The sequence below is a fragment of the Homo sapiens genome, chromosome 6, assembly GCF_000001405.40.
Source record: "Homo sapiens chromosome 6, GRCh38.p14 Primary Assembly".
In the NCBI taxonomy this organism is placed as follows: domain Eukaryota; kingdom Metazoa; phylum Chordata; class Mammalia; order Primates; family Hominidae; genus Homo; species Homo sapiens.
The window spans coordinates 10,080,817-10,104,562 of NC_000006.12; the positions used below are offsets into that span (position 1 = coordinate 10,080,817).

The 23,746-nt window shown below is 42.2% G+C and overlaps 1 long non-coding RNA gene and 1 pseudogene across 2 annotated transcripts in view, besides 1 other annotated feature; both read right to left on the bottom strand.

The window, feature by feature from the left end:
* The window catches only part of OFCC1 (orofacial cleft 1 candidate 1 (pseudogene)), a 506,631-nt pseudogene that overhangs the window by 375,839 nt on the left and 107,046 nt on the right, over nt 1–23,746 (bottom strand). The window lies entirely within an intron of this gene.
* Nucleotides 1,656–1,856: a silencer, noted in NCBI's record as "peak5651 fragment used in MPRA reporter construct". NCBI's record gives its function as "represses an SCP1 promoter by STARR-seq MPRAs in K562 erythroleukemia cells {active_cell/tissue: K562}" and the evidence as "EXISTENCE:reporter gene assay evidence [ECO:0000049][PMID:32103011]".
* The window catches only part of LOC124900218 (uncharacterized), a 45,268-nt gene continuing 36,122 nt past the window's right edge, over nt 14,601–23,746 (bottom strand). The window contains exons 3-5 of the long non-coding RNA XR_007059909.1: nt 23,267–23,417; nt 21,585–21,690; nt 14,601–18,742 (exon numbers count right to left, since the gene is read on the bottom strand). This is a non-coding gene — a long non-coding RNA (uncharacterized LOC124900218). The remainder of the gene's footprint in view (nt 18,743–21,584; nt 21,691–23,266; nt 23,418–23,746) is intronic.

Here is a 23,746-nt window from a genome sequence, read left to right on the forward strand (position 1 = left end):
TGGGAGCCACTATATCAAGGCGGCTACTGAGAGGAGCCCATTTCAGCTCTCTGAGCCCCAAGACTCTCCTGGGCATCATTTGAAATCTTTTTGGAGGCAGCCACACTCCCATGGCCCATGCACTCTGCAAACCAGTGAAGATGTGAAGATGGCACCATGCAAATGCCACCAAGATTTACTGCCTGTGCTCTCTGGAGGAGTAGCCACCACTGTACCACGGCTTGCTCGAACCAAACCTAGGGCAGCCGAGGACTACTGCTGACAAGTAGGGAGCAGAGCTTTAAGGTGGCGCTGGGCAGAGAGCCCTGAGATCCCACAGGCACCCTGGTCCTCTCCTTTGAAACGGTCCTGTCCTTGAGGCCCTGGCACTCTGGACTTGTGATGGGAGTGGCAGCCCCACAGATCTTTAAAATGCCTTAAGAGTCACTCTTCTATTGTCTTGATGAATAGCATGTGGCTGGTACATACTAATCTCCTTACTCACACCTTTGGTGTGCTCTCCCGAACATGCTTTCTCATTTGTTACAATATCGGCAGGCTGAGAATTTTCTGCATCTTTAACTTCTGCTTCCCTTTTGATGATAAATTCTGTCTTTGAATCTTTTCTGTCTCCTCGCATTTCCTATAAGCAGTCAAGAGAAGCCGTGCAGCACCCACAGCACTGTGCTTAGAGGATTCTTCTCCCAAATATTCAATTTCACCATCCACGAGCACTACCGTCCACTGAACACTAGGATACCAACACAGTTCAGCCAAGCTCTTTGCCACTTTGTAACAGAGATCACCTTTCCACCAGTTTCCCATAATACGTTCCTCATTTCCATCTGAGACCTCCTCAGGATGGCCTTTACTGTCCGAATTTCTACCAACATTCTGATCATGACCACTTAGGTAATCTCTAAGAAGATTGAAGCTTTGTCTACAACCCTCTTCTTCTGATCCCTCAATGGAGTCATCCTTTAAGATCCATTCTTGGTGATGTAGGCATTTTCTAGCATGCACTTCAGAACTCTTCCAAGCTCTACCCATAACTCAGTTCCAAAGCCACTTCCAGGTTTTTAAGCATTCGTTATAGCCACATTCTATTTTTTGGTAGCAATTTCTGTCTTAGTTCATTTGGCCTGCCGCAACAAAATACTTTAGACTAAGTAACTTACAAATAGTAGAAATATATTGCTGATAGTTCTGGAGCTTGGAAAATCCAAGATCAAAGTGGGATTAGGTTTCAAAATATTAATTTGGGGGGTACACAAACATTCAGACAATAGCACCTCCTTTATAAAACAGGAAGACTTATTTTCATAAAGTTGCTGCAAGAGTAAAATGAGGATGTACCCCCAGCATTTAGCATGATGCCTGACACAGCTCCATGCGGGCAAGAACCACACTCTTCTCATTCTCCTTTGCATGCTCAGTGTTTGATACTGTGTCTGGCACATAGTTGGTCCTCAATAAACACTTGTTTACTGATGAAATAATAAACACAAAATATTAGTTCTTGTTTTCTTAAATGTTTTGTAGCTGCTAAAATGTGATATATGCCGAGTTTTATATATAACTTGTTAAATATTAACACAATAATCCCTCCATATAAATTTCCAGCAAACAAATTTACTTTTTGTATCTTCTTGATTCTAGTATATGAAGCTGTGAATCACTCCTGTTAGACCTGTTGAGTAAAACAGGAAACTTGGGGAAATAAAAAAGGGAAGCAGTGTCAAAAGCAGAATGGATTGCCTCATAGCTATCAACTCATCCTCTCTGCGGTGGGGCTTTTTTTTTGCAGTGAAGTCTTGGAGGAAATAAGGGAACATGAGGGAAGGAAGATCCTGGCCTTGGACATCTCTTTTTATCCTCAGTCAGGAGAAAGACAGACAGAAGTGTGTGGAAGCATAAATGACTCATGTTTTGGCATAAGATTTTTATGGGCAGCCAAGTTACTGGATATCCCCAAGACTTCAGTGGACCCTAAAAGTGCTTAGAGGAAAATGCATAAGTCAGGAAAGCACTGAACACTTGACTGAGGACAGACAAATGCACACCATATTGATTTCAACAAAGCTAAATACTCAGTAAGCAGCGACTCATTAAAAATTGAGTGAGGAGAGTTGCTGAACAGTTTCTAGGAAGCAAAAGATGGCCAATGAAACAAACAGCTCCACACCCAATGTTACAAAATATCATTGCCTTGGGATTTATTTAGTGTTGGTGTTTGTTTTCTATTAATGAACTTCATAGGATTTTAAATTTTACTTTTGACTTCAGCTCCTCTACCATATATTTTTCTTAAAGTCTAGGACTTCGGATTATGGAAAGACTACTGTGTGTGTGTGTGTGTGTGTGTGTGTGTGTATGCATGTGCACACACTCATGTATCCATGTGTACATTACGTTGGCTTAAAACATGTAAAAGTGTGTACATATATGTGCTTGAGATATAGCTCTACACTATATGTATACACACACATACTCAAACATAGGTATGTACACACAGACGACATGTACCTTGCTCTCCTTTAGATGTGGAAACCTCTAGTGTGGAGTCTGTATCATATGGTTCTCATATAGTGCAACATTTATAGCACTGGTTAAGTGCTGAGCACAACATGAGCACTTAACAGATACTAAAAATGTTTTTAAACTTTAAGAGAGGAGAAGTTTAAAAATCCAGTCCCTTTGAAAGCGTTTAAAGTAACATAAAAATTCAAAGGAATAGAGGCACCATTTGGTTAATTAAAGCATCTTCTGATAAACCTTTGATATGGCTGACTGCAACATTAAGTGGCAAAGTGGCCACTTGTCCAGGACAACCCCAAACCCTAAAATTCTTGTGGTGGAGAAAACTATTTGGAAATATTTCTCTAAATTAATTCAAAAGTGTCTGAGGTCTTCTCATTTTTATTGTTCTCCCTAAAGAATATAAAGTGGAAAGAGTAATGAAAATAATTTATTTGAAAGACTGAGAAAATAATTCCTTAAATAGTTTACAAGTAGCCAAAGATGCATGATATTGGTAGTGCTGAAAGGAAGGGAAGAAGAGAGGGAGAGACGGAGGGAGGAAGGAAGGGTGGCAGAGAGGAAGAGAGGGAAGAGGAACAAAGAAACAAAAAGAAAAGAAAAGAAACACTGCAGCTGTGAATTGACTCCAGACCAGAGTATATTCTTTCTTCATCTGAGGTATTCTTAATACATTCCTGAAACTTCCAGAAGGATTTTCAACAGTTGAATGGGCCAAAGGAACTTGCATAGTCTCCACGTCCAAAGGCCAAACTCCGTTAAGGGAATGTAAATATATACCCTTAGGGTAGCATCCAGGGATACGGAATAAAAATGTTTGCTTATTCATGTATATATCCCCAAGACTGTAGAAAGCTCCTCTTCTTAAGAATATAACCTTTCAAGATGCAGGGACAAGAAAAAGCAGAAGAAAGAAAAAATACTAATGTCTCAGCAGCTCGACTGTGCATCTGAGAAAGACTTGACAGGCGACTCGGCACATCACGTCAATCTCATCTTAAAACCAAAATTCTGATGTCATATGGAGATGGCACACTGACATTCACTGAGCTCATGCTTAAGGGATTTCTCATCATGCGTGTTCAGACACTATCCCTTTTTAGAGTCTTGATCTGTGTCTCACTGGCTGAGCACTCAACAGGGAGGGAGTAGGTAGCTCATATTGCTTGCAGAATTTACATAAAGTGCTTAAACAGATATGTAAACCCTGGGTGACTTGCCAGGCATGGTAGTAAAATTTCTCAGCAGGCGTGATACCCTGTAGCGAGGACCTTCTAAATGGACTCACAGGGAGAAATGGGGCGGTTCAAAGGTAAAGACAATAGTTTCAAGCCTACACCAAGGCGAGCTGGCACAGGGATTGCCACAGAAAGAGAGGTGGCAGTGTTTAACCACTCCAGTTCTGGAAAACTCCATCCATCCCTCCTCCACCACCACCACCACCACCACCTCCTCTTGCTCAACACAGTGCTTCAAAGGAGCTTGGTGAATGGGCGAGTCTTGGGCGATGGGACTGAACACAACCTCCTGCTCACTGGGCCACCTGGATTGCCTAATAGCTGTCAACTCATCCTCTCTGCGGTGGGGCTTTAGTGTTGCCCTGAAGACAGCACAGCACAGCGGCTGGTAAGCCAGGACCTTTGATCCTTGCAGTCTCCACTATCGGGGCTTTTTCCCCCTCTTTTTCTGTCTTTCTCCAAACTTTGAAGATAATGAGTCTTAAATATTTGCAAGTAATTAGAAGGTGTGGCTGCCAAGGAAAAGTGAGTATTTTTCTTTTAAATGGGAAGAGTAGGTACTGTGCTCATCACACATCTCTAATTATATCACATGTGCTTATTTGGTCTCTGATAAACTGATCTGGCCCTGGTAGGGAAACCACACCTAGGAAGTAATGAGCCCCTCCTGCAACAATAATAGCCATTAAGAGGCGAGAAGCAGAGTGTCACCATGAGTTAATTATTTATCATTTACTGACAACTTCATCCTTCAACTTGCTTTTCAGCTTCAATATCTGAACAATGGAAGTAAGGGGACTGTGTATTCTCCTACAGGAACAGAGCAGATGATTTCAGAAAATACTATATGAAGTCTCCTTTTATTATGCATTTAAACAATTTTACTGAAAAACAAAGTCACCCTCTATCTCTAGGTTCATTTTTGGTACTTTTCATAGTGTGTGTGTGTGTGTGTGTGTGTGTGTGTGTGTGTGATGAAAGGACACATACAATTTGAAATGTGAGCAATACTTTATTATCCATTGCTAATGAAGAAAAAATCAGAAAGTCTAAAGGAAGCAAATACATAACTAAATGGATCACTGGGATAAAACCTTTACCCATATGAAACGTCCAACAGCTACCCTGAAGGGTAAAAATAAAAATGATAGCTTGGCTTATTCAGTCATTCTCCCACTTGACCGAACAATCTCTCAGCATAGAGAAGATGCACGCAATTATCTCACCCTGTAGGATTTGGCCAAGGTCTATGTAGTAGAACTTTCTTTCCTCCCCTATTTCTATCTCAGATGTAAAAAGGACATTTCAGATCATTTACCCAATGCCTTCATTTTACAAGGAATAAACTGAGGCACAGAGAAAGGCTGTTGGAGTGGCCCACGATCAAAAAATCAGCTAACAACAGATTCAGGTCTTCTGGTCCCACATAGAGTGGCAGCTGTCCTTGCCCTTACCCAGACTTTGCCTGTTCTCCAGTCCTTTAACAGGATGCTCCTAGCCAGCTGAGAGCCTTCACAGGCCTCGCTGCCCGTAGCCCAGCACCTGAAAAGTGAGGTTGTTAAACAGAGGCACTCACAGTCTTTCCTAGTGAGTCCGCTTTTCAATTTATAAAAGATAAAACGTTTTGGTAAGTTGTCAAAGTAGCAAAATGAGCTTCTTCCTCTACTCACATGTGTTGCTATGTGATGTTCACCTATTCTTGGGATTTTGTTTTCTTACACCTTCTAATTGTCTCATTGACTTTACCCTTTTAAAGGTGTGTGTGTGTGTGTGTGTGTGTGTGTGTGTAAACATATATGCATGCATGTATCTACACAAATATATTTTTTCCTGTTCAAACTACTCAACTAAGAAAGATGCATGAGAATATAAATAACACTTGTCTCACCTTTTTGAGTATTGACTTTGGACTATTTAAGAAGGATTTTAGTTTATGAGCTGTTGCCAAAGCATTTCAGTTTTTCTCTGAAGGCACTTCTCTAAGGCAAAATAAGGCTGAATAATGGCTTTTGGGGACAAGGGAAGTGGAAACTTATTTGTTTGTGTTTTTATAGGAACACAAATTAGAATAGGTTGAGGACTCCAGTATCCTCAATCCCAGAGGTATCCAGGGACGCTTCATTCTCAGCTCATGGCTGATTAGTACCCTCTTTTCTGAGAAACACAGGGGTTTGAGTCATTTATAGTATTTGACTAATCTCAGAATTTAAAGGAAAACTCAAAAGACTTTGAAAGTAAAAAGGCCATATAGGGCTGGGTGCAATGGCTCACGTCTGTAATCCCAGTACTTTGGGAGGCGAAAGCAGGAGACTGCTTGAGCTCAGGAGTTCAAGACCAGCCTGGGCAACATAGTGAGACCTCGTCTCTACAAAAAATAAAAAAAAATAGCAGGGCATGGCGGTGCCTACCTGCAGTCCCAGCTCCTTGCAAGACTGAGGCAGGAGGATTGCTTGACCCCAAGAGTTCAAGGTTACAGTGAGCTGTGATCATGCCACTGCACTCTAGCCTGGGCAACAGAGCAAAACCTCGACTCAAAAAAAAAAAAAAAAAAAGTAAAGAAAAGGGCCATATAGTAATATATGATACTAGATTAAAATCACAGGTTTCCAAGATGTCACTCATGGTTTTAAACATTTTACACGTATTAAATCATTTAATCCTTAAGACACCCCTGTAAGGCAGATACCATTATTATACCCACATTTCACATGAGGAAACTGAGACACAGAAGTTAGACAACAAGGTTACACCACTGGTCAGTGCTGAGCCTAGAAGTGGAGCCTGCACTCTGCACCCCAACACACTGCCCCCGGCCCCCGCCCAGTGAAAAGCAGGCTCCGTTCAAGAAACCAGGAAGCATCAGGTTGACATTCCAGGAATAGAAACTTTCTGGAAGCCGCAAGGGCCTCTCCTTTAAACACTCTTACCTACTCACACCCTGATCTAAATTAGGTTTAAGAAATCCAGGTAAGATCAGAATGCCTAAAGGGATGGAGCTCTTGCCGAACAGTGTATATGAAGAGGAATATGGTCTAATCCCAATGCCAATTTGTTCCAAGCGAAAGCAGAAGTCTCGATTTCAGGGGCTTGCCTCTCTAGCTCTCCAGGATCAATGGACCCAAGGATTCGCCAATACATTGTGAAGATGAGACGAGTTGCTGTCAACTTTTAGGAGGTGACCCAGGACACTGAAAGCCATTCTTCCAGAAGAGGCAGGAGCCTGTGATGCCCCTAAACACAGGTGCAACCATATATGTACACACACACACACACACACACACACACACACACGCACCCCAAAGCCTACTTACTTAAGCTCATTTCAACAGAACACTGCCAGACAGACAGACACAGAAATAACTCAGTACAAGATGAGCAATAATTATAAACGAGGTAACAGAGGAACAAGCTGCTGTGGGGATCTAGGAAGACGGTTCATGAGGAAATCATGGCCCTTCCTCCCACCCACCCCTTCCTGAGGAAGGGAGGCGTTTGGTGTGTGGTATTTTTCACCAGGCACACAATGGAGTTAGGTAACTTTGGAAAGAAAGGCAATTTAAATAAGGAGAGGCCTGATGAAGTAAGTTAACGATGTACATTCTTGGGTGGTGAGAAGATAAAACATGTAACAGTAAAAAATACGAGTTCATCAAAAGGAAGAGTGTGTGTATAGTATATTTCAAGATATTTCCACCTCTATTGGTCTTAATTAAAAAGCATGGTTTGGGTCAGGCGCAGTGGCTTATGCCTGTAATCCCAGCACTTTGGGAGGCCGAGGCGAGCAGATCACCTGAGGTCAGGAGTTTGAGACCAGCCTGGCCAACATGGTGAAACCCCATCTCTACTAAAAATACCAAAAATTAGCCGGGCACAGTGGCAGGCACCTGTAATCCCAGCTACTTAGGAGGCTGAGACAGGAGAACTGCTTGAAGCCGGGAGGCGGAGGTTGCAGTGAGCCAAGATCGCACCATTGTACTCCAGCCTGGGCAACAAGAAAAAAATATAAAAAACATGGTTTGGCATGTCGCTTAGGTCTGTTTTAGAATTTTCAAAATTTTTTGTAAAGAGTTTGTCCAATTTTCTGCCACTCACTATCTTTATTAACTTAAAGAATGAATATACCCACCAAAATAAGAAGATGAAAGAAAAAAGAACAAATATACCCATTTTCAGATATATCTTTTAAAGGAATAATTAGAATATGAAGAATTTCTTTATTAAAGAGGGAGTTTAATAAATGTACTAATATTACAAAGAATAGTACTACTGCCAAATATAAATTAACTGGCATCATAATATGCCCTTGTACTTCTTATAATTTGTATGACATTTTAAGATTTTAAAAAAGAAACCATAATTCAGTCTTTAAAACATAAAAATCTTAAAACTCTCCTTTCTCCTTCAGCTTCTAAACATGAAATTCATGGGTCAGAAGCCACGGTCTGAAGCTCAATGTAGATTTTTTAAATAGTATGTCAAATTTTTAAGCTATATATTTAGACACTTTATTTTATGGACCATTTTAGCTTCTATCCCATGGAAGTTCACTGTTTCAGGAACCTGTTTCTAAGAATGCAGTGGGGAACTTGCAGTCATTACCAGAAGACTTTTGGGGGACCTTTTATAACATACATTTCTATTTGACTGTGACAGTACCATGAGGCATTTTTCAACTTGACTCTTACAGAGTTTACTCAACCTAATAAAAGAGGCCTTCTATCTCTAATCATTCGTTTTCCCTCAACCAAAGAAGATCTTTGTCCCATTAGAAAAAAACAGTATTTTTTTTAAATGCAATTCTTAGTACTTAGCTCAGTAAGGTAGGGATGACTTGATTTTCAGGTTTGGTAAGAGTGATGTATTGTTTAAGCAATTTAAGCAACAAGTTTTAATAAATAAATTTTACTGCATTTAAAATTTAAAAAGGAATTCCCAAGCTCCTTAATGAAACTTTGCCTTAAGTTTACATACATATGTAATATATGTGTAAATATAAATCTGATAGACTTAAGAAATAAAATATTCTATTAACTTTGAGGTAGGTATAAATAATAGATAATAAATAGATCTCCATTTTTCAAATAAATGCTTTTTTCCCCATCTTGCAAAAAGAATGTATTCCATATTTATCTATGGCAGCCCTATTCAGAGAGGCAGTTTTATAATGAAACCCCAGCAGGCAACCTTTCTGAACCCAACCTTGAGTACTACTGTTGGAGTTGAAACCCTCACTGACTTAGTGGAGGCAAAGGAATAAAGAATAGGGACTGCTTTTTATTTCATTTATTTTATTTTATTTTATTTTTTAAGAGACAAAGTCTTGCTCTGTCACCCAGGCTGCATAGCAGTGGCAAGATCATGGCTCCACTATAGCCTCAAACTCCTGGGCTCAAGCAATCCTCCCACCTCAGCCTCTGGAGTAGGTGGGATTACAGACACATGTCACCCTGCCCCAGCAGAGCCTGCATATGGAAGAGTGGATGGACAATCCATTCTGCATCAAAAAGTGAGAGCTGACTTTAAATCCAATTCAATAGGTAGATAGTAGGTAAGTAGATGGAGCTTTGCATGTAGGAAATCATAGAAATAGTTTTATAAATTATTTTGTTATCTATTTATTGCCATGAAAATAAAACCATTTACTTTCAGAACTCTACTACCAAAATGTATTTGAGGCTGTGCGTGGTGGCTCATGCCTGTAATCCCAGCATTTGGGGAGGCTGAGACAAGTGGATCACTTGAGGTCAGGAGTTCGAGACCAGCCTGCCCAACATGGTGAAACCCCATCTCTATTAAAAATACAAAAATTAGCCATCATGGTGGCACGTGCCTGTAATCCCAGCTACTCGGGAGGCTGACGCATGAGAATTTGTTGAACCTGGGAGGGACAGGTTGCAGCGAGCTGAGATCGTGCCACTGCACTCCAGCCTGGGTGACACAGCGAGATTCCATCTCAAAAAAAAAAAAAAGTGTATTTGATACTTATTAAATAGTTATCAAATTTCAGAAATGCCAGATTAGAGATTGGCAATCTTTAAGGTTCCTTTTAATTTTACCCTTCATAGATATAAAAATCATTAAAGAGAAACCACTACTCCCTCTACTTTATGGTTGAAAACTTTAGCCCCTTCTAGAAAAATAGTCTATGTGCGCCTTCAAGTCCATACACATCTGAACAAAAGAATCTGCCACACTGTTGGAGTCTCAGAATGCTCAAAACTAGCAATGTCACTGGGCACTCCCATGGTGCGGTACTTCAGCCAAGGCCTAAAAGCAACTATTCTCCAAACACAGTTTCAAAACCCTATAATTATAAAATTCTGTTTGTGGCCTTTCAAAGTTGCTGTTTGTAACATTTTTAAAGTCTAGAACACAAAAACCACCATTCTAAATGATAGAAGGTTGTTTTTTTTTTTCACCTCATCAGTTATTTATGCCACTCAAACACATCATTGTGTTTACTGTTCAGCTTCTATATCATTAGGGATGAACAATAGGAAAAAAATAATTGCCGAACAGACAAAATTCTGGCAAATTGATAGGATAATGACATTATAAGTAAATAATAATTACACAATAGTATAGCTTGTGCTAATATAACTTATTGTGCCTACTGAGCCTACAATTAGCATCAATGTTTTTAATACCAGCCAAATTAATTTCATAGTTGACATTTCTAGCACAAAGTATTAGTAATTTTCAATCTTGTATTTTCTAATCCCAGAACCACCTACTGATACTGGAGAATGTTTAGAACTACTAACTGCGATGGCCGGGCACGGTGGCTCGCGCCTGTAATCCCAGCACTTTGAGAGACCAAGGCAGGTGGATCAACTAAGGTCAGGAGTTTGAGACCAGCCTGGCCAACATGGTGAAACCCTGTCTGTACTAAAAATACAAAAATTAGCCAGGAGTGGTGGCGGGTGCCTATAATCCCAGCTACTTGGGAAGCTGAGGCAGGAGAATTGCTTGAACCCGGGAGGCGGAGGTTGCAGTGAGCCAAGATCAAGCCATTGCACTCCAGCTGGGCCACAAGAGCAAAAAAAAAAAGAACTACTAATTGTGAACTAGAGCTAGAGCTTTATAATTCTACTTTTTATAAAGTCATCCCATCATTGCCTCTGCTTAGAGGTCTAACAATTCTTTGCCCATAGGAGTCCCCTAAAATATAACAACTAGATGATAAGTGAGTAAATAATTTGAAACACCCTGGCCAAGTGTATTAGTCCATTCTCACACTGCTATAAAGAACTACCTGAGACTGGGTAATTTATTAAAAAAAGGTTTAATTGACTTACACTTCTGCACACTATATAGGCTTCTGCTTTTGGGGAGGCCTCAGGAAACTTACCATCATAGCAGAAGGTGAAGAGGAAGCAAGCACATCTTCACTTGGCTGGCGGGAGGGGTGGGTGAGGTAAAACACACTGTCTTTTTTTTTTTTTTTTTTTTTTGAGATGGAGTCTTGCTCTGTCGCCCAGGCTGGAGTACAGTGGCGTGATCTCAGCTCACTGCACGCTCTGCCTCCCAGGTTCTTGCCATCCATTCTCCTGTCTCAGCCTCCCAAGTAGCTGGGACTACAGGCACCCACCACCATGCCCAGCTAATTTTTTGTATTTTTAGTAGAGATGGGGTTTCACCATGTTAGCCAGGATGGTCTCAATCTCCTGACCTTGTGATTTGCCTGCCTCTGCCTCCCAAGGTGCTGGGATTACAGGTGTGAGCCACTGTGCCTGGCCAGTACAACACACTTTCAACCAACAGAGCTCAGGAGGGCTCTATTACAGCACAGTGAGGAGGATGGTGCTAAACCATGAGGAACCACCCCCGTGATTCAGTAACCTCCTACCAGGCCCCTCCTCCAATACTGGGGATCACAACTTGACAGGAGATTTGGGTGGGGACACAGAGTCCCAGACTATATTATTCCACCTGGCCCCTTCAAAATATCATGTCCTTCTCACATTTCTTTTTTTTGGGGGGGGTAGGGGGCAGGGAGACAGAGTCTCACTCTGTCACCAGGCTGGAGTGCAGTGGTGCGATCTCAGCTCGCTGCAACCTCCGCCTCCCAGGTTCAAGTGATTCTCCTGCCTCAGCCTCCCGGGTAGCTGGGACTACAGGTGCACGCCACCATGCTCAGCTAATTGTTGTATTTTTGGTAGACACGGGGTTCACCATGTTGGCCAGGATGATCTCAATCTCCTGACCTCATCATCCTGCCGCCTCGGCCTCCCAAAGTGCTGGGATTACAGGCATGAGCCACCACACCTGGCCCCTTCTCACATTTCAAAACACAATTATGCCTTTCCAACAGTCCCCCCAAATCTTAACTCATTCCAGCATTAACTCAAAAGTCCAAGTCCAAAATCTCATCTGAGACAAGGCAAGTCCCTTCTACCTATGAGCCTGTAAATTAAAAAACAAATTAGTTATTTCTAAGATACAATGGGGGTACAGGAATTGAGTAAATGCTCCCATTCCAAAAGGGAGAAATTGGCTGAAACAAAGCGGCTACACATCCCACGGAAGGCTGAAACTCAGCAGGGTGATTATTAAATCTTGAAGCTCCAAAACAGTCTCCTTTGACTCCATGATTACATCCAGGCAACACTGATGCAAGGGATGGGCTCCTAAAGTCTTGGGCAGCTCAGCCCCTGTGGTGGTTCTGCATGGCTCCAGCTCCCATGGTTGCTCTCAAAAGCTGGCATTGAGTGCCTGCAACTTTCCCAGGCATGTGGTGCAAGCGGCCAGTGAATCTACCTTTCTGGGGTCTGGAGGATGGTAGCCTTCCTCTCCAAGCTCCACTAGGCAGCGCCCCAGTGGGGAGTCTGTGTGGGGTTCCAACCCCACATTTCCCCTTAGCGCTGCCCTAGTAGAAGTTCTCTATAAGGGCTCCACCCCTGTAGCAGACTTCTGCCTGGACATCCAGGCATTTCCACACATCCTCTGAAATCTAGACAGAGGCTCCCAAGCCTCAACTGTTGCCCTCTGCACACCTACAGGCTTAATACACATGGAAGCTGCCAAGGCTTGGGGCTCGCATCCTCCGAAGCAATGGCCTGAGCTGTACCTTGGTCCCTTTTAGCCATGGCTAGAGTTGGAGTGGCTGCGATGCAGGGTGCCATGTCCCAAGGCTGCACAGAGCAGCAGGGCCCTGGGCCTGGCCCAGGAAACCATTCTTCCCTCCTAGGTTTCCAGGACTGTGATGGGCAGGGCTGCTGCGAAGGTCACTCAAATGCCGTGGAGTCATTTTCCCAATTGTCTTGGCTATTATCATTCGGCTCCTCTTATGCAAACTTCTGCAGCTGGCTTGAATTCCTCCCCAGAAAATGGGTTTTTCTTTTCTGCCACAGGGTCAGGCTGTCAATTTTCCAAACTTTTATGCTCTACTTCCCTTTTAAATATAACTTCCAGTTTCAGACCATTTCTCTGTTTATGCAGGTGAGCGTAGGTTTTTGTAGCAGCCAGGCCACATCTTAATGCTTTGCTGCTTAGAAATTTCTTCTGTGCCAGATACCCTAAATCGTCTCTCTCAAGTTTGAAGTTCCACAGATCACTAGAGCAGGAGAGCAGTGCCACTAGTCTCTTTGCTAAAGCATAGCAAGAGTGATCTTTACCCCAGTTCCCAATAAGTTCCTCATCTCCATCTGAGACCTCCTCAGTCTGGACTTCACTATCCATATCACTATGAGCATTTTGGTCACAACCATTCAACAAGTCTCTAGGAAGTTCTAAACTTTCCCTAATCCCCCTGTCTTTTTCTGAGCCCTTCTGTTCCAACCTCTGCCCATTACCTAGTTCCAAAGCTGCTTCCACATTTTCAGGTATCTTTATAGCAATGCCCCAATTCTCTGGTACCAATTTTCTGTATTAGTTTGTTCTCACACTGCTATAAATACTACCTGAGACTGGATAATTTATTTTAAAAAGAGGTTTAATTGGCTCACAGCTCTGCAGGCTGCACAGGCTTCTGCTTCTGGGGAGGCCTCAGGAAACCTACAATTATGGCAGAAGGTAAAGGGAAAGCAAGCACATCTTCACATGGCAGCAAGAGAGGGAGGGGAGGTGCTACACACCTTCAAACAACCAGATCTTGTGGGAGCTCTATCACAAGAAGAGCAAGGGGGATGGTGCTAAACCATTAGGGACTGACCCCCATGATTCAATAACCCCCCACCATCTCCCTCCTCCAACACTAGGGATCACAACTTGGCAGGACCAAGATTGCACAAAGAGGACTACAGGAATATTACTCAAAGATGGCAGAGGGGCTCCACATTTTCTTTTCCAAGTCTTGATTCACTTATGCAGAGTACATTTATATTAAATAATTGGTTGTCTTCAAGAAAATGCAAGTGTCCTGGCACATGCCAAGTGTTCCCTAAAGACACCTGTGATGATAATGTGACGATAAAGCCCTCAAGGACCTGGCTGGATAGAGAACACCTGGAACTCACCACACTGTGGCCTCTTTAGAGCAGGGTAGAGTGTATGTTGTTGTTATGCTTGTTGTTTAAAGAACAAGCCCTGGATGATAAAACATTTTTTTAAAAAGTGGTCAGTTGTGATGACTATTAGTTTCCTGGAGATGGATAGTCATGGTGGGCCCAGAGGGAGGAAGGGGCGGTTAGGAAGATTACAGTAGATTTGCTGATATTCGGATGTATTTCTTGCTTGATCAGAATAGAGAGAGAGGCTGAAAATATGGACAGCAGGAATTTCCAAACACGTCCTAGGATGCAGTCATGTGTTTAATTTCTCAAAGTCACATGGCAGCTGGAAGAGGATGTGGGAGGGTGGAGCAGGGAAGCTGATGAAAAAAGAGGGAAGCACACCATCTGCAATGCAAACTGGTAAACCCTGGAAGCCCATTGGGAGATTCTGCCTGCAGCGGGATCAACTGGAGGGTAGAGCACGTGCTGGCCTTTTCCCACTTCCACTCTTCTCTCCCAATTCCAACATGATGACATCAGGAACAGCCAGTGATACCAGTGTCAGAAAGACTAAGATTCAGAGGTAGAACTGGCCCTCACTTGTAGTTTGAGAAAGTGACTTTTCCTGCCTCTGTTTCCCTGCTAGTAATACTGGGTGCTAGCCTCGCTGAATTGTTCATTCACTGCTATCTGTTTTGTTCCCCTTGTCCACTTTGTCAGGAGCACTGGAACGGGATTACCTCCGAGGTCGGCTGGGATCTCACGCATGGAGGATACAAGCATGTAATTCCCTTCTGAAAGCCATAGTATTACAACAATTCTAGTTTGTATGTTTCAGTTATTAAGAGGCTGCTTAATAATATCACCACACAAACGGAAATATTGAAATGAATCTGACTAAAGCTTTTTATACTAATGGCAAATTCTATTTTTGGCTGTATTTCAATAAGGATACTTGTTTTCTAGTTATCTGAAAGACGGAAAAACAATCATGTTTTACTGACTGGAAATTTATTTATGTGACTTACAAAAAATCAAGACCTGATTTTAAGACATTGTTTTTACTAAGTTTAAAGTTTTGAAAGCATTATGCTCTGGAAAACAAAGGACCACTAAAGGAGATCTGGTATGTTTTGAAAGCAAAGAACTACAACATCAGGTGCCCTATAGGACCAAAACCTAGGTATCATTTTTGCATAATGTGTGTGTATACATATATACACACACCTAGGTATCATTTATATATACACACACACACACACACACCCCTAAGTATCATTTTTGCATAATGTGTGTGTGTGTGTGTATATATATATAAAAATTGCTATAGCGTATTTTTCCAAAAGAACCTACAGTTCGGGGGTGGGGGGGTTGTTTTGTTCCATATAGAAAATTGTATTTGTCTTTATAGCACAGACAAATGAGATAAAGGTTGTGCTATATCTTACATTTTAAGCTGAAAAATGAAGGGCAGTCAGAAACAAAGGCAGAAACACGTCCCAGGTCTCTTAACTTTTACTCCAGGACTCTCTGTACTAATTTTTGGACTGTCCATCCATTTCTCTGGTGAACCTAGCAATCTTTTTGTTGAACACAATTATTTCTCTGCATAAAGTTGCTTATTTAGAATCATAGACTATTAAACCTAAAGGGAATGAAGAGAGTCTCATTGTAGGAGTATGCTGTTTACCTACAGAGGAAGGAGCAGAGGCTCATACAGGTAAAAGGCTTTCTCTTTGTCAAATAGTCCATCAGCCATATCGCCCTACAAGAGCCTCGATTTTGTTATCGCAAGCCTTTCTCTTAGAAGGTTGGCCACCACAATGCCATTGTTTGTATCAAAAGAGCCAGTGCATTTTTCCAAAGGGCCTAACTTTCCCCCACTGAAAATCCAGCTGGTAAAATAAAATTTAAAATTGGTTAATAGGCCGGGTGCAGTGGCTCACACCTGTAATCCCAGCACTTTGGGAGGCCAAGGTGGGCGGATCACTTGAGGGCAGAAGTTTGAGACCAGCCTGGCCAACATGGTTAAACCTCATCTCTACTAAAAAAAAATACAAAAATTACTGGGGCATGGTGGCGGATGCCTGTATTCCCAGCTACTCAGGAGGCTGAGGCACGAGAATTGCTTGAACCCAGGAGGTGGAGGTTGCAGTGAGCCAAGATTGCACCACTGCACTCCAGCCTGGGCGACAGAGCGAGACTGAATCTCAAAAAACAAAATAAAGTAAAATAAAATAAAATAAAATTGGCTAATAGTAAATTCATGATACCTCAGTTTAACAGTTTGGTTGTGGTCAGTCTTGATATCTTATTATGTGGTATTTTTTAATATTTTACTTTCCTTATAGCCTAGTAGTTTGGACCCTCGAGGTTAATTGATTCTTCAAAGGTGCCTGTTTAATTTGCCTTAACATATGACCTTGTGGGCCTTTTCTCTCAGTACTGACCAGTATTGAGAGATAAAATTTCAATGAAAAAAACTGACCAAATATACTAAACTTGTTTTCACCAGGCTAAAGATACTACAATCTCTCTGCACATTTTATCTGCCATGTCATGTCTTGCCATTTCTGTTCAATGGTTTGTAAAAAGAAAACTTTGTATCACATGCTAAACAGACATTGCTGTCCTTAACTTTTAATGCTACCAACAGTGCTCCAGGCACTAAACAAAACCCAAAGAGCAGCACCTCCCCTTAGTGTATCTAAATAATAGATTGAAGAGCAGGTTGCACATGTGCATATATTTTAATCAATATGCATTTACTGTGGCTATAAATGACACTAAAACATCACTACTCCCCAGGTGTCATTACCACCCACAATCACCCAATGGGCATTCTCCTACTTTATGTTGTTAAGTGTTCCTGAAAAGTTGCACGTAAATCAAATAATGTTAGATACAGTTGAGTAACCTATTATGGAGAATCCTTTATGAAGCAATAGGTAGCATATTATTACCTTATAGAAATTTGGTACAAATTTCTGGCATTTTCTCTTGTAGTTACCTATTTTAAATTCTGTGAGGCAATTCATTTCTTCATTCAATATTGTTAAATTCTCACTGTATACAGTACAACATAGAAAAAGTACCCACTTACAAGATAGGAAAAGCCATATATATCTATAACACAAGGGAAAAAGAAATATCTCCCCAAAATGACAACAACTAAAATAGAAATGGTAGAAAAATTCAAAGTGAAACAGAAAAACGGACATAAAATTTATAATGCATTTACAGAAGCTCTAACATACTTTTTATATAAATAAAGATGAGAGATAATAAATACCGGAGAGAAATCTGTATATGATTAGAGTGGTATTATTTCCTTTGGTTTAGCTCTCTGGTAAATATGTCTTAACAAAATGTTTAAATCCCAAAATACGATTAGTGCATGTCACTAGAAAAAAAGTTAAGAAGAAAAACCCACAGCTGATCAGGGTGGCTCATGCCTGCAATCCCAGCACATTGGGAGGCCGAGGCAGGAGGGTTGCTGGAGAACAAGAGTTTGAGACCAGCCTGGGCAACAGCGGGAGACTCTGTCTCTACAAAAAATAATTTTAAAAAAATTAGCCAGGCGAAATGACATTAAATCTTTAGTCTCGGCTATTCTGAAGGCTAAGACAGGAGGATGGCTTAAACCCAGGAATTCGCGGCTGCAATGAGCCATGATCACGACACTGCATTCCAGCCTGGTGACAGAGATCTTGTCCCCCCAAAAAAAAGAGAAAAAGAAAAACCCATTTCTCCTTTCATGCGATATCTGGCATTGCTACCTCTGCCATGACATGTACAAGCTCTTTGGGCCAGCTGGTAAAAGTGTGTGTTAATTTAAAATAACCTGTTTGTTAATTGCTTTCAACCCAAGTCATTTTGTTCCTGCACTTTGAACCCTAAAGGTAGTTTGGAATAAATGCGGCTGGGAATGAGAAGTAATTAATGCAAGCAGGCAGCCGTGGCTGCAAGAGCCGGGGATGGAGTGGGGACGGCCTGAAACTGGTGTTTGTGCTCTGAGGAACTGATCCCGCTGGTTTGTTGTTAGATTTTTTTTTCCCCCTTTCCTTCTGCCGTCTAGTTGCAGGCTACCACTGGAAGCTTCTGCCAAAGCGGGCTATCCCATCAGCCCTCTGGCACACTGTGTTGATCAGTAGATAAAACCTTCCCGGCAGTCACAGCCGCCGCTGCCACTGACGAGGCCACAGCAGCGAGCAAGCGGCTCTGCGGAATTCACTAACTGCCTCTCCACCTGCCGTCACCTCCTTGGGTCCCTCAAGGTTCTCCTTGTGGCTGATAGTCATGGTGATTGCTTGACCTCGGGCCTTGCAGCTGGCTGGCTTCCAGGAAGCTCCTCTGATGACAAGGTGTGCTGAAGTCTGTGTTCACGGGCACGGCATTCAGGCGCAGAGCGTGGGATGCGGGAGAAAAACCTGCTGCCGTTGCTAATGGCCCCAGTGTTCTTCCCTCGCAGGCAGAAATTATGCAGGCTTCTGTCTCGCGGCTTCTCCCTTTACCCAGCGCCTTGTATGTACTGGGAGACCAGACTGTGACCACCTCCAGGGTGACAGGAAGCAGCAAAAAATAAAAACAAAAAATGACAGAAAGACATGCATTGTATTTTCCAGCCTGTTGAAGCTTCCTTTACTGCATACTCTTGGAAAAAAAAAAAAAAACTGTCTTGCCAGTGATTTACACATGACTGGAACATTTTAAAACCTAGGCAACACACACGTATTTATCTGATTGATGCTTCTCTAATTCTTTGAAGTCCTCAGGCCATCTAGGAAGTTATGTCAATTTATAATTTTCCAGTGACCCGTGTGTGTGCGCGCATGTGCACACACGTGTGTGTTTTGCCAAATGAGGAACTGGCATTAGGGCAATGGTTAATGTAATATTAGTTGGTGTGGCTGAAAGCAAAAATTGCACTTAAAAGATTGAGCTGAGGTGAAACCAGCCAGACGACTTTTCCCAGAACGTGTACAACGCCCTCTGTGAAAATCTGCTTTTTCTTGGCAAACTTATTTTTGCTTTAATGTAACAGGGAAGCGTGTCTCATCCTGGAATGATTTGGCCCAATTTCACTATGGTTGGGGATTGGGAGGATTTGGGAAAAAACACAGTGGAGCCTTTCCAGAGTCAAACCTAACATTGTGTCAAAAGTACAGAAATTTGATGAAATCGTAGTATCAATACTTGAAGATGTACTGCTTGAAGATTTCTCTCCCAAAGGACTCCTGATTATACCTAGTTTTTGAACCTTGAATACATAGCATCTAGTTTTCTATCTTAAAAAACATGAAGCAATGGTAATACTGGCCTGCTCTTCCAATCACTAAATCAAACTTAAATTTGTGTTTTGTTTCCTTTATTTTTTAAAAATATATTTCAGACCTCTTTCAAACATATTTTTTGTTGATCCTTACAACTACGCTGGTGAAAAATTATCTGCTTTCTGCAGGTGTGCAAAATGAGACTTGGATTAAGAAAAAAAAATGTCGGCCGCGCACAGTGGCTCATGCCTGTAATCCAAGCACTTTGAGAGGCCGTGGCAGGAGGATCACGAGGTCAGGAGTTCAAGACCAGCCTGGCCAATATGGTGAAACCCAATCTCTACTAAAAATACAAAAATTAGCCAGGCGTGGTGGTGCGTGCCTGTAGTCCCAGCTACTCAGGAGGCTGAGGCAGAAGAATTGTTCAAACCTGGGAGGTGGAGATTGCAGTGAGCTGAGACCACGCCACTGCACTCCAGCCTGGGTGACAGCGCAAGACTCTATCTCAAAAAAAAAAAAAAGTGTCAGTTACCCTAGCTAATCAATGGTGAAGTTGGGATACAAACACAGCTCTTCTGATTCCAGATGGCTATTTTTGTCTTTACATGGAAAATTTTCTAGTTTTTCCTAGTTTCTCTCGTCTAGAGATGGCACAGGACCAGAATAGGACCTTCTCAGGACAGACCTACAACTTGGGCCTGGGAATTAACCAAACTGGCATGAGAGTGAAGAGGCCGGTGTGCTCCCTGCCACGGCATTCAGGTCCACAACAACGTTCAGCTCTTTGTCATACTCTGTTAATCCATCTTTGTCTCCTTTCTCTTTCATCATTTATTCATCAGGACCAGCCTTAAGGCAAAGTGAAAGGCCAATTCCACTTTGTATGTTTTTGTTATCCTTAATTTTTGTTATAGTCATTTTTACCAAACAAGTCTACAAGCAGCCTCTGCATTAGGTTGCTTAGATATTTGTTTGTCTGATTAATTAGAATCCTTCTAAGGGTTAAGTATGTTCAAGACTGTATGGGTCAGGTTTGCATTTTTATTTTATGATTACTCACTTCCCACAAGGACTATCATTCTCCAAGTTAAAAAAAAACTGTCTGGAATATATTATAAACTTGCCACAACACCTGCCTATATTTTTGAATTGAGGTTTTCCTTCTCACAGTCACTCAAAGGGATAATACTAATGTTTACAGCAACGAAGTCGGAAGGAGCCTTCCTCCCAGATCAGCTTCCTGGAAAGACCTGGAAATTCCTCCTCCTAAGTTTCCTTTATACCATGTAGGCATTGTTCCTATCTCCTCTCCCCCTGCTTTTTAGTTACTCCTCATATTCCCAGCACTACTCTTCTACCTTGCACGCCTTTGCACCTTCATCTCTGAAAGTCTTCCTAAAACTTCCTCTCTGAGGTTTTCCATGACTAAGGCAGAGAGACCGAGGAAGCCACAGCTGGAGCTGCACCCATTTGCACAACAGCACATACATGTGGTCTAAAATAAGCAATCCAGAAACCATCTCTTTCACCCACCTGCCAAGCTCCCCTTCCCTCAATGGAGAGAGAAAATTATCTGGAAGGCCTGAGTTCTCAGAGACTGGTTCCACATGAATGCTCGCTTGTATTTGCATGGTACCTCTCTTGCAAGGTGCCCAAAGTGCTATGTAAGTGGCTCACACATTTTTCACAACTGCTCTTTGACATAGATTGTCAACAAACACCATTATTCCTAGACAGTAGTTGAAGGTGACTGAACTTTAGGGAAGTCAGGCAGCTCCCAAAGACAGAGCAGGACTGAGACCTTGCACTAAACTACACTTATCAGAGCAGGCCAGGCACGCAGCAGAGACTCAACTGAAACACAGTCAGGCCAAAACCAAATACAGTTTTTAAAAACTCAAACAGGAGAAACCACTTTCTGAACCACTAATAATCTCTGAATAACTTTAACATGGATCCAAGGTGATGGTTAATAAAATAGACGCCAGTGTAGACACTGTTTGCATGGGAGGCAGGATCTAGGACATTGGCAACTGATAAATAAAGGAAAGGACAGAGAGAAAAAAGACAAAGTTGTACAATGCCAGCCGTGGGACTCAATGGGAAGACACCATTTAACTTACCTGAGACTTCTAGACACAGGTCACTCTGTTTTTGCCAACAACAGGAACCAATCTTTGGAACTTTTTGAACAAAGGGGAGGGGATATTGCCTTCATGACCTTTATCTCTATGAGACCAGACAGAAAGTTATGGTTACAAACTAATCCCAAGTCATTCTCGCCTTTTCTTTTTTTTTTTTTCGAGATGAAGACTCGCTCTGTCGTCCAGGCTGGAGTGCAGTGGCGCAATCTTGGCTCACTGCAACCTCCACCTCCCGGGTGCAAGCAATTCTCTGCCTCAGCCTCCCTAGTAGCTGGGATTACACGCGCCCGCCACCACACCCAGCTAATTTTTGTATTTTTAGTACACACGAGGTTTCACCATCTTGGCCAGGCTGGTTTTGAACTCCTGACCTTGTGATCCACCCGCCTCAGCTTCCCAAAGTGCTGGAAATACAGGCGTGAGCCACCGTGCCCATCCCATTCTCACTTTTTCTAAGACACAGAGTGAGATGTATTGTTTGTATTTATTTTGCCTTTGTTTATTTAAGGATAATATAAATAATATAAATAATATAAATAATATTACATTTCCTGCAGCAGAAACCTCTCTAGCATAAATGTTTATCATAACAGAGGTTCCCATTGAAAGGAAAGGTCTGCTTCCTTATGCAAGTGGGCATCCTTATGCAAGCTGGATATATCGCAGAACAGTGCTGCACCTCAGTCACTCTGAGGCGGGTGACAGAATGGCTCTCTCGGTGGCCTGAGAGCACCTGAGCACAATTTCAGGGGAAGTCTATGATAAGAGGTGATCCTAGATCTTTCTTGAGTATACCATAGGAAGATATTTTCCCATACCCATATTTTTATGCCTTTCTTTTTAAAATGTTCTTTGTATTGAATGTCTTTATAATAAGTACATTCATTCAAAAGTCATATAGTCTATGGTTTCAGCAGTTTCAAAAGAAAGGGCTGAGTGGAATAGTGATGCATTTTGCACCTCCCTTTTTTTAAGAGAGACAGGGTCTCACTCTATCACCCAGGCAGGAGTACAGTGGTGCAATTATGGCTTGCTGCAGCCTCAACCTCCTGGGCTAAAGCGATTCTTCCACCTCAGCCTCCTGAGTAGCTGGGACTACAGGTGCACACCACCACGCATGGCTAATACTTTTTATTTAATTTTTTGTAGAGACGGGGTCTCACTATGTTGCTTAGGCTGGTCTCAAACTCCTGGACTCAAGTGATCTACCTGCCTCAGCTTCCCAAAGGGCTGGGATTACAGGCATGAGCCACCGCAACTGGCCTACGTTCCTTTCTTTGTAAGGAATGAGGATCAGGAACTGTTTTCCTCATTTCAGTGTTACTGACATATCTATTCTTTTCCTATTTTAAGCTAGAATTTTAGGTTTACTTTACTTCTTGAGTAAATCTCATTCTTTCAACCATTCTTTCAGAAATTTAGAAGGAGTTGAAATCAGTATGTTTTGTATGAATTATAACCTCCTTTCATAAATTTCACAGAGCATTTCTATGTCATGATTCTTTTTCTGAAATCTTTGGAAAGAAAACTGAAACCTATTCTCTAGGCAAATACTTCTGTTTGATAAAGGAAGAAAGGACATTCTCATTTACTTTTCCTTTCAATGTCATTGTTGCTTATAAATGTGTTTTTTTCTGTCCAGATATTTCCTTAACACCTACCTTGTGCTGTGTAGACTTGGCCTATGAGCATGCGGTGAGGAATGGAGGAAGCGCTCCAGCTACAAGACATGAACAATGTCCTCCTCGCCTGCATGGAGGGAGGTCCCAAGTCATAAACCCACAGAGAAGGCCGCAAGAGCCGCGGATGTCCCTAGAGTGAGGAAAGGACAAATCAACCCTTTAACTTTGCTTCCCTTCCCCCTGCACCACTGCTGAGTGTCTCAGCTTCAGTTTCTGATCAGTCTTGCCAGAGCTGTGTCCATTCTCTCCCTTCCTTTTCACATTCTAACCCCTCTTAGCCTTGGTACCTGGGTGGTGGGGATGGGGAGGAAAGAGGAGAGACAACGAGGTGGCGAGAGATGACAGTGCTCATCACCTTTAAGTGGGTTCCAGCTCAATGCTAAATTCAGCATCAGCTGCCAGGCAGCTTCCAAGGGTCCCTCGCATGAGGCCCCTCTTGCCCAAGGATCATGCTGGCCT